The sequence below is a fragment of the Homo sapiens genome, chromosome 18 (assembly GCF_000001405.40).
Source record: "Homo sapiens chromosome 18, GRCh38.p14 Primary Assembly".
Lineage (NCBI taxonomy): Eukaryota > Metazoa > Chordata > Mammalia > Primates > Hominidae > Homo > Homo sapiens.
Genome location: NC_000018.10, coordinates 51,645,377 through 51,656,854, shown reverse-complemented (window position 1 = coordinate 51,656,854; position 11,478 = coordinate 51,645,377). Strand labels below are relative to the sequence as shown.

At 42.3% G+C, this 11,478-nt stretch overlaps 1 long non-coding RNA gene across 2 annotated transcripts, besides 2 other annotated features; it reads left to right on the top strand.

Annotated features, from left to right (window-relative positions):
* The first annotated feature begins 421 nt into the window (after window positions 1-421).
* On the top strand, window positions 422-10,747 carry LOC105372120 (uncharacterized). 2 transcript variants are annotated; one of them, XR_935471.3, is made up of 4 exons: window positions 422-475; window positions 3,306-3,448; window positions 4,633-4,781; window positions 10,506-10,747. It is a non-coding gene; the product is annotated as an uncharacterized LOC105372120 (long non-coding RNA). The 2 variants fall into 2 exon arrangements; XR_935472.3 differs by lacking the exon at window positions 4,633-4,781.
* Window positions 1,579-2,417: an enhancer, noted in NCBI's record as "NANOG-H3K27ac-H3K4me1 hESC enhancer chr18:49180808-49181646 (GRCh37/hg19 assembly coordinates)". NCBI's record gives its function as "activates a minimal SCP1, AML or CMV promoter by ChIP-STARR-seq in naive H9 embryonic stem cells {active_cell/tissue: H9 hESC(naive)}" and the evidence as "EXISTENCE:reporter gene assay evidence [ECO:0000049][PMID:30033119]".
* Window positions 1,634-1,813: an enhancer, noted in NCBI's record as "active region_13334". NCBI's record gives its function as "activates an Ori minimal core promoter by ATAC-STARR-seq in GM12878 lymphoblastoid cells {active_cell/tissue: GM12878}" and the evidence as "EXISTENCE:reporter gene assay evidence [ECO:0000049][PMID:35858748]".
* Window positions 10,748-11,478: the final 731 nt, after the last annotated feature.

Sequence of the window (11,478 nt, the reverse complement as noted above, 5' to 3'; positions counted from 1 at the left end):
GGACATTGGACTAAGTAACTTCGAAGGTCACTTCTGAATCCCATTGATAACCCATATCTTGAAATTAGGAGAATAATGACAGAACAAGGATAGAGCCAAGAATGCATTATGTGCTTCATTTCCAGTGAGTTCATTTGTGTTGTCTGCTTTGAATTACTCACAGTATTGTTATAGCAGGTAGCTAGCCAGCCTATGAGGAGGGCAGGAAAGGGCTCCTCCATACCCACACCAGGAAAGTCAGGTGACCATCAGGTGCTGGTCAGGCGGTTGTTAACTATCTCTATAAAATAATAATTGGTGACAGCCAGCGTCAGAGAAAGGCAGTCTCCCTATACAGATAAAAAAAACACCGGTAACTGTTGATCGGCAGCTTTCAGGAGTTGGGCGAGTGAGCTCGAGCATGCGCATTAACAGACGATACGGCAGCACAAGACCTTCTGGGGGCACTCCACCGGAAAAGGGAAGAAAGCCTCAGGTGAGCATGCGTACACCTCCTCAAACACACTGTGCATGCTCACCTCCCAAGCACAAGGAGGACATTGCACATGCAGGCGGTCCACCCTAAGGGAAGAATCATGGGAAAAGGGACACTATACCCTGGAAGTATGCCAATATATAAAACCCCAAGTCAGAAGGTCAAACGCTACACTTGACCTCCAAAGTGCCCAATTGGGTCTTTTCCGAGTGTACTTTGTTTATCCCCTGCTCTAAAGCTTTTTAATAAACTTCCACTCCTGCTCTGAAACTTGCCTTGATCTCTTTTTCTGCTTTATTCCCCTCAGTCGAATTCTTTCTTCTGAGGAGGCAAGAACTGAGGTTGCTGTAGACCTGTATGGATTGCCACCAGTAATCAATAAACTTATTGAATCCTAACAGTATTCAATCATTTTATTTATATAGGAAAAATTATCACCTGTTTATCTCCCCATCCACTTTTTCTTTATGCTCGTGCTAGAGATTATAGACTTCCCTGATAACTAAGGGCATTTTTACTTTGCTGACCAACCATAAACGTCCCGCATAGGGTGAACAAGTACAAAATAGGGCAGGATGTGTGCCCAGAGCACCATATCTACCATGTGTCAGGGTGGGCTCTGAAGTGGGGATAGTTTTTTTCAGAAATTTACCATTTAGCCAGAGAGAGAAAGGATCTTCTGATGAAAGTGTTAGCAGATAAGCCAGTGCTTACTTAGGGACAAATAAAGCTGAGACAGGGCTGAGAGGTGCTGCGGAGGTGGAGTATTTTTCATAGCAGAGGTGGATTGAGCTGGGCCCCTGGGGAGGTGAGTCATATTTGAAAATGCTGAGGGGAGGAAAGCAGGTGACATACAAGTCATTTCCCTCTTTTGATTTTTAGGTTTTAACTCCATTCGGCAGCCTGAGAGAATGCAGTCAGGAAAGGTGTGGGAAAGACACTGAAGGGCAGGAAAGGAGAACCCAGGACAACCCAGGCCCAGCCTTGTTTTCTACTCTCTGCCTCAGGCCCCAAGACCATGTGGCCAGGGTGCAAACCATGCAGTATCTGCATAGCGAACAGTACTGTAAGCCAAACTGTTAGAATATGGGCCTCTGCTCTTTGTGTCCCTGCTACCTGATTTACATATCTCTGGGCTGCAAGCAGAAGCCCCAGGTCTACCATGCTCGGCTTTGAAGCCTTCCCTCAGGCACCCTCTGCGAGAAGACCCTGCTGGCTGGACTTGGCTCCCAGCCATGGCCAGGCCAAGGAGCAGAGGGGAGACAGGGGAAGGCAGAGGATGCCTAGAAGCCTCAGCCCTCTCCTCCTATTTGCCTGAAGGTCGGGAGGCCACTTTCCTGAACCAGTACAGGCAAAACAATGAAAGCATCTGCAGGCAGAGGCAGCACAGCGGGGTGTGCGGAGAGTCACAATGGGGAGGCGGAGTGGGGAAGGAAGAGAGAGAAGGCTGGAGGGAGATCCCATTTGGAAATAAGGAGAAGGCTTTGAACTTGCAGATCTCTCCAACTGAGGCAAAACCCACACTAAACCAGCCCCAGCTGGGTGCCGCAGGAGACTGTGAATAAATCTGAGAGGGAGAATGAGATGACAGTTCCCCCTTCTTAATGCATTCACCCCAAGGTGCTGCTGGGCATCTGTTCCATAATTAACCAGACTCTCCCCTCCACCAACCCCTCCTTCCCCTTCACCTCCTCCTGTGGCTGCTCAAACATTTGCCATAATTATTCCCCCGCCCCACTTTTCAAAGGAGCCCTCTGGAAGGAGTTTGCTGCCTGGCTCTTATTTCTTCCTCCACCTCCCCAGTTCTGGGCAGGGTGACAGCCATCCTTGGCTAGAAGGGGTTTGTGAGCATCCCACTTCCCAGAGGCCACTGCGGTATCCCATCCTCCTCACCCCAGCCAATCAGTGGAACATCTGTTCTCCCCTCAGTGAGGCTCAGTGCGGCAGGAAGGCGGAAGGGCATAGCAGGGTATCCGGGTGGGCCATTTTCCATCAGCATGTGATCTCTACCTCCCTCCCCCATGATCTGATATGAAAATCACAGCAGTAATGAAAACTGATGGGACAATGTGGTGCATAGAAAATCCTGAGAACTTCTTTCCAATAACAGTATTATATTATGAGTGATAATAATACATATTTTAAATGGAAGATCACAGGAAGTTGTCTGGTTATTGTTTATTCTCAGCCTCTGTGGCCACATGTAACACATACTGGGCGTTCAATACATAATTGTTGAAGACATGGATCACTGCTTTATCAAGTACTTTACAAAAGTTGTCTCTACACACAATACTCATGAGAAATAAGTAATAGAATCCCCACTTTAAGGTGAAGAAAATTGAGGCACAGAGAGGTTGAGCAACTTCCCCAAGGTCACACAGCTAGTAAGAGACTAAGTCAGGATTTGAACACAGACCAATGACACCATGCCCATGGTCTTTCTGTTATTCCGTGCTGCCAGGCCACCTCCCTGCATGAAACATTTCAAGAGGAGGTCCCTGATAATGGATTTGCTGTTTCCTCTAGCTAAAGTGTCATATTACTGACACCCACTCATCGCTCAAGTTCAAAGACTCAGTGAAGACATCTACTGATGTGTCTTTTATTGATGAATCTTTTATTAGCATGAATCATATTTTGCTAATAAATATGATTGCTAATAAATGATTTGCTAATAAATATGATTGCTAATAAATATGATTGCTAATAAATATTAGCAAAATCATATTTTGCTAATAAATAGTGATATTGATATCACTATTTCATATCACAAATATTTAGCACATGGTAGATATTCAATAAATGTTTTTTAATTTCTATTTTACAGATAACATTCCTAAGATTCAGAGATGGGACTAACTTATTCAAGACCATACAACTAGGCTATGTAAGAACTACAACTTATATCAAGAGCTTTTGACTATGAGTACAGGAAGCTTTCCAGTAACCCATCAACCACTGAGCTGCATGGTACATAATTTCATTCTATATTAACAAATGAAGTTCTATAATTGTGGTGATTTCTATTTTTTTCTGACAGCTTCTTAATATATATGACCAACTAGTAATCACAAACTTGACTTATTTCAGTTTTTATCATAATAAAAGTAATATGTTTATTAGAATATTACAGAACAATGAGAAAAAATTAAATCAATACTCTCAAACATTTAAAATTAATATTTTCCTGTGGTCTGTTTATGCCTTTTTAAATCATTGAGATCTTAGTCTTGGAATCCTGCTTTTTTAAAACTAAATATTATAACATAAACATTTCCCTATTCAATAATTTCCCTATTTACTACTTAAAATCATCATTTAATATGCCTTGATAATTACTTTTTAATGACTAAAAAATATCTACCATTTGGAATGTCAATGAATCATTGTCCCCCAATTGCTGGACAATTTTTGCTCTTAAAATAAATCATAGTACAGGGCAGGTGTGGTGGCTCATGCCTGTAATCCCAGCACTATGGGAGGCTGAGGTGGGCAGATCACCAGGTCAGGAGTATGAGACCAGCCTGGCCAATATGGTGAAACCCCATCTCTACTAAAAATACAAAAATTAGCCGGGCATGGTGCAGCACACCTGCAGTTCCAGCTACTCAGGAGGCTGAGGCAGAAGAATTGCTTGAACCTGGGAGGCAGAGGTTGAAGTGAGCAGGATCACACCACTGCACCCCAGCATGGGCAACAGAGCGAGACTCCATCTCAAAAAAAAAAAAAAAATTATAATACAAAGCACATTGTTTTCTTTCTGAATTTCAGAAAACTTTTTGGAATAGTTTTCTAGGAAAGAAATTATTGAGTCAATGGCTATGAACATAGAATGGCTCTTAACATAGATTGCCAAATTGCTTTCCAAATGAGTTGTACTAATTTTTGTTCCTACTAACAGTGATTTGGATATTCCCATCACTTTAAATTTGCTAATTTCTTTAAAACACACACATTTAATCACAATGTTTTGAATTGCAAAATGAAAGAAATTTTAGAGATGATTTAGCTGGCCTCTTCTACTACCTCTTTTATACATTAGGCAACTGAGGTCCAGCCAGTTCAATGGCTTGCTCAAAGTCACAAAAACATGGAGGGATGAGCTGAGCTAGGGCCAGGTCTTCTGACCCCCACTTCTCTGCACTATCTCCCAGGTATCTGAAAATCATTTTGGAGCCTATTTATCTGCTCAACAGAAGTGTTGCAGAGTTGCCATCACTTGATGTCTTAATTTGGATTATGCCTTCAGGGAACCAGCTTTTGAAATATCTGGACCAGACAAGTAACAAATTTCCCCACCATGGTGAGAAAAGGGTATTTCCTGATAACACTCTTCTATCTGCCAGGGTTCTGCAGGGAACCTTGTGTCTACTTATCACTTCTTGCTGGCTCAGGTTTCCGGAACTCTGTTAGCCCTGCTTGACATTCACCTTGGCAGCTTTTACTGCATCCTTCCTGTGAGCTTCTGCTTTCCCTGTCCCTGCTCAGCACGATGGCAGCCTACCTCATTTTCAACCTCAGGCCAAGCAGGAGTGTTGCTCCTGCCCATCTGCCATGTTGGCCAAATTTCCCTGATTGCTAAGTAATTCCAGGCTCTTCTCAGGAGGACTGAGTGAGCTGCAAGTTAAGCCTCTCCTCCAAGGCCTTGCCTGGTTCTCAGTCATTATCAGAACTATAGTGGGGGTATGCAGATACTCTTCCTCCACCGGGGGCCAGACGCCCACTTTGGGCTGGTTGCTCCCTCAAAATATAGCCTGCACAGTTCTATGGGAGGCAGAATGTATACATCACCAACATAGCATCCTAGGTGACTTTCATACCCAGCTTCTAAACCATGTTATGCCATGGCCATGCAAACCCTTCTAAAATATTGCTCACATCGACTTGTCTCTACTTAGAAACCTATCCATTACTATAAGACAAAATGGCTAGCTTGGCTTTTAAGCCCCTTCCTATATATAACATTTGTCTGCCACTAGTTACTCCTAGCTCATTGTATGCCAGCCCAGAGAGAAAAGGTATACAAAGAAAGATGAGAGTCCGAATGAAATGAGAGAGTTACAGGCAAAGTGAGGATACGATTCAGCCTGGTTGTAGAAAAGAAAGCATGTTCTGGGAATAGTAAGGGGGTTGTGCTGCCTACTTTGCCTAGAATGTTCTTTCTCATCTTCTCCCTGGTGGACCACTCATTCTTCATAGCCCGTCCTTATGCCACCTCTGAAGCTTTCCATAACCTACCCTGCCTCCAAACTTCCATTGCTTTCCTGACTAGTCCTAAAGCTCCCAGTCCATACCTCTGCTATGCCATTTTCCACACTAAAATAACACATTTTGTAAATGCCTTACTCCCCCACAACTAAATATGCAGAGTATTTTTTTAACATGGGCCTATGTCTGTTTATCTTTTTTATCCCTAGTGTCTAGTACTTCTCTTGCAATGGGTGAATGACCAAAACATGCGTAAAAATAATGAAAACAATATGTAAGTCAGGATTATTGCTGGATGGAATGAACGAAAGACTGAATGAATGAATGAGTCGTAGAGGTATGACTGGAAAAGAGTTGCTTCAGGAATTCTCCAGGCATTTGTTGTAACTGTGCTACCTGGGATGGACACACACATTGGTAACATAAATTGGCACTTTTTAAATAGGATATGGGCGTGCAGCCACGTGATTGGTAGCTTTGTAGAACATTAAACGTGGGATATAATAAATAAAGATTGATCAATAAACAAACGTGATAGTTTTCTTTAGAAGAGCCCTGAGACTAAAATTGCAACATGTAAGCTCTAGAGCCGGAATATTCTATATGCCTTTGGCCAGCTAGAAGCAATTCTATTTTTTTCCATTGCACAGCACATATCATGAACCATAGGTGTTCATTTCTAGGCACCTGTGACATTCCCTAACCAGTCTCATATCTATTAAGGAGAGGACAGTTTGAGTACAGAGCTAACCATTCCATAGCCAGGAGAAAATGCAGAGATCAAGGTTCCATACATCTCTTGACCCGATCACTAGATGATTTGCCAGCACTAAAAACATCCATGGCAGAATTATGTCTGGTCAGGCATTTGAAGAAGCCTTCGTACCCTCTAATTTAAGGATCTTTGGGAAAATGAGACACTGTCATTTAACACAATCTTTAAATTGAATGGAGTCATTCTTGCCAAGTGGCCTAAGGGCTGCTGGTGGAACATCAGTCAATTTTTGCCCTTCTCTTCTTCTAGATGCATGTCTGTGCTTTGTAATTGAATCTACATGTGGCACTGGGGTATTTTTAAAATCTAGAGGTTGGAAATACTTATTGGAAGAGGCTGGTTTACAGGTTGGGGGCTTGGCATTGGCAGCAGCTAAGGGACTCCAAGAATATGGCAGAATTAGGGTTGGCCAGAAGCAGAGGGAATGTGGAAAAGGCCAGGTTTGGCTTAAGAGCCTAGCGTCAGCTGCTATAACCTGGCAAAGGGATAAGAAATTTTTTCACAGCCAGTAGTAAAATGAAACTTATGGAAACAATAAAGTAAATGTTCTGTCTAGCCAGTAAGTCAAATTAGAGAAGATTAGATTTTTCCAACCATGCCTGAAAATCAAGGTAGTTTGGTGGTCTAAGGATAGCCAGGAAATTAATGATATTTCAGGTTCAGAGTTAACGATATACATCAAAGATTGGCAAACTACGGCCCTAGGTCAAATCCAATGCACTGCATATTTGCAGACTCACCAGGAAAGAATGATTTTTACATTTTTAAATAGTTGAAAAGAAAAATCGAAAGAAGAATACTATGTTGTGACACATGAAAATCATATGAAATTTGGATTTCAGTGTCTATAGATAAGGTTTTCTTGAAACTCAGCCACACTTATTTGTTTATGTAGTGTCTAAAGCTGCTTTTGTGCCACAATGGCAGAGTTAAGTGGCTGCAAAAGAGAGCACATAGCTTGCAAAGACTAAAATATTTATTTACCACCTTGTCCTTTTCAGAAGTAGTTTGCTGACTTCTCATATACATGGTCAAATTAGATGAGCTCAGGGCCCATTCCTGGTGAGGTAAAGGCAACCTGTAACACAGCACAAGGAACAAAGCTTCAAGGGAGAAAAGAATTTAGAAGAAACCTGGTCCAGCCTCCTAGCCCATAGAATGTCCTGCAAGAGCCATCCAGACATGGGGACTAACAATTCCAAGAATCCTAGCTCATTATCAAACACCTTGACTCTACCTATTAGAGAAAAATGTTTCTAATGTTGATCTAAAACAATCCTTACCCCCATCCCAGCATGGGCTTTTTTACCTATAAATGTTTTCAACACTGAAAGGGCATTAATCACAGTCCTTCTTGGTCAAACAGTGCACTCCTACCCCATTCCATGGGTTAGCACTTTATGTCTGAAGGAGCTTTAACATTCATTGTCTAATTCTGCCATTAAAACATCTTGCCAGGAGCAGGCCTGCATAATTATTCTTCATACAGACAAAGAATTTGAAGGCTGATACCACAGACTGAATTGTGTTCCCCCACCGCAAATTCACATGTTGAAGCTTTAACTCTCAATGTTACTTACCATATTTGGAATGCGGCCTTTAAGGAGGTAATTAAGATTAAATGAGGTCATAATGGCAAGGCCTTAATTCAGTAGGACTGGTGTTTTATAAGAAGAGGAAGAGACACTGTAGGTCTCCCCTGATCCGCGCAGAGAAAAGGCCATCTGAAGACCTAGGGAGAAGGCACCACCTGCAAGCCTAGAAGAGAACCTGCATCAGAAACCAACCCTGATGGCACCTTAATCTTGGACTTCTAGCTTACAGAGCTGTGAGAAAATAAATGTCTGTGTTTAAGCCACCCAGTTTGTGCTATTTTCTTATGGCAGCCCTTGCAAACTAATACAAATAACAAGGTTAAATAACGTGTTCAAAATGATGCAGCTTCCCAGCAGCAGAACAGAGACTAGTCACTCACTTCAAAAACATTTATTAAGCACCTACTAAGAGCAAGGAGTCTTCCGGGGGAGATAAGGATTACTCAAAGAATCAAACCAATACAAATTTTAAAAGAGCTACCACAGAGAGATGCATGGTGCAACGAGCTGTAAACAAGATGAACTGATTTCCTCAGGTTGGTAAAGGAGGCTACCCTAAGATACAGGTGAACTGAGATCTGGAAAGTGAAGAAAAGTTTATTAACCAAAGGAGGAGAAGAGTGAATTTCCAGAGAGAGGCCATGTGCAAAAACCCTACAGTAGCCAAAAGCACATGGTGTTCAAGGAAATGACAGAAGGCCAATGTGGCTGGAATAGAAAGAGGTGGGGATAGCATACGATGAGGCTGAAAAAGCAAGAACTGGCCAGACTTCTTGTGGCCTTGTCAGCCATGTTAAGTGATTGTGTCTTTATTTTAAGAGCATTTGGAAGTGTTAAAGCACTTTCAACATGAGAATGACTGTTTTAAAATTTCCCATTAGAAATAAAAACTCTGACTGCAGTGTGGAAAACAAGAGGTTGAAGAAAGTCAAGGGGGCTACAGGAAGACCAGTTAAAAGATGATTACAGTAGACAAAATGAGGGATGCATGTAGCTTGGACCACTAAGGTTGCTTTAAAGACAGAGAAGGAAATGGTTATGAGACCTATTTATGTGGTAAAAACATTAGGACTTTTTTATTGATGGAGGATGGGGCCAAGAGGAAGATGTCAAGTGTGACTTCTTGATCTCTGTATATTTATTAGAATGGAAGAGGTGACAGTAACATTTACTGAGATGTGACATAGTACAAGAAAATGTTGATGCCTTTCAGCCAAAGACCAGCAAGTGCAGGCCTGCAGCTGAATAAGATCAGGCATGCTGACTTGTTGCAACAAGAGAGAATGAATGCACACAGTGGGGAAGCATAGAAGATCTCAGAAAGAGACTGCTAGGAGGGACTTATTACAGAACTCAGGCTTCTATTAGGTGATTTGGAGATGATACAAGGAAATGGGAGTTTGCTCTGCTTTGCATGCTGTCGGGAAGCAGGGATCTTTCTATAATTGGGTATCTTCGTAATTCTTACCCAGATGGCTGAATGAAGCTGAAGTTGTGATTATGACTGGTAAAGATAAAACAGGCATGTGTATCCAGGAGGAGGTGATGTTTGCTCATTTTTGTGTTAAGGACGATTATGCTTTTGGATCCTGTTTTTGTCCCGTCTGAGTGGCCTCACCTGATGTTGGCGTGCTTTGACATTGTTTATGTGCCGCAAGGGAACACCACAGCCTAGCTGTAAATAACTGGACGTGCCTAGAAAAGTGACAGCCTAATGCATAAAACCAGTTAAGTTCCTTGCCGTCAGGGCTACTTTTCTCACTCTCAGGCCACCCTTTTGTCCAAAGGCGGAAAAGGTTAAGCTGCAAGGTATTCATCTAGAATGTTCATGTCTCACCGTTGCTGAGTTTTTGCTGGTTAGGTGGTTGTACCAGCCATGTGGTCTATACCCCACAGGTATGGGACCAGGTTTGTTCCCTTTGTTGAAGGACAAGTTGCTTATCATCTGACAAGACGGTGGCTGCACAGTAGCATTTATGACTCTTGGCAAGATACATCAGCCCACTGCAACACAGGCAGTTACCAGAAACAGAAACAAAAATGGTTATTAGTTCTTGTAATAGGCCCTGAAGACAGGGACCTAGATTATGAAACCCAGGCAATGAAAACATGTCCCAGATTTCAAATGGTCTTTTCTAGAGATCCAAGAGGTTTTTTCTTAGCCTAATTATAGATTGTTCTTCCTAGGTGCAGCTAAAAGTGTTTGCTACAGCATAAATTTCCCCTTGGCTAGCTAAGAGGAAATTAAGACCTACGTGATTACTCATGATAACATTAGCTAATGAATCTAAATGTAAACTGTTTAGTTGGGCTTCCAGAGCAGAAGTTGTATCATTCATGATATCCTATAGGGTCATAGATAAGTTCGAGACCACCCTTTCTACTTATACTATTCCTACTCTGGGAATTTATCACAACAGGAATAAGACTTGTTTTTTTCTCTCTCCAGGTGGGAAGATTCTTTGAATGGAGTTTCAACAACTTCTGAAAAGCAAGCAGTTGTGTCACTGAAGAGAACAAGCAGACCACTGTAGCAAGGAGAGCCCCAATATTCTTTCCATTCCTCAAGAGGAGGTTTCTGCCAATCAGGTTTTCATTACTTCAGCAGCGACACTGTATTGAAGTGGTGTCAAAGTTCAATTTTTATAAGACCAAAGTTTGAGATTAATAATGTGAGGGAAATTTATGTATCAGAATGGACCTGTAGAAGGAAATCTACCTTGTGAATTTGCTAAAGGAACAGTCATTACATTTTTGGCAGTAATCAGGTCTATCGAGAGCAGTAGCTGTGGTCTGAGAAAAACACCAGAGCAGTTTGATTTTTCTTAAGGTAGAAGACAATAGGGAGTCAAAAGAAGCAGGATGAAAATAAGGGATATTATGCCAGTAAAGCTTTTAGTCAGCTAATAGAGGGGGTCAAAGCACAATAACAGGCAAGATGTGTGGCAGAGAAAAGGGGAAGGAGAGGGTGCTGAAGAGTTGGAAAGTCAATCTTGGTGCCTCATCCTGAGGGGAGCTGTCCACCTGTGCAGGTAGCAGCTTGTTCTATTAACTTGACTTAAGGATATGTTGAGTTTAAGCTGCTTTTGAGACATCCAAGACAGCATACCAAGCAGCATTTGGATGTATAGGTTAGAAGGTTAAAACAAAGAGCTCTAAGGTGGAGATAGAAATTTGTAGCTCATCTCCCTACAGATTCTGGATGGAGCCATGGAGCCCCCTGGGAGAGAGTCTCAAGACAGAAGAGAACAGGATTCGACTCTGCCAACCTCCATGCTCTCAGTCCCACCATGCTGCTTCTGGACCCACTGCAAATTTCCCCTGTCTTTGGCCAGGTGGACCAGCCAATGCCATCTATTCTGAGCATGAACAGAAGGTTGCTGTTTCTAAGAAGTCAGGGGTCCTCCCTCGACACCATCCTT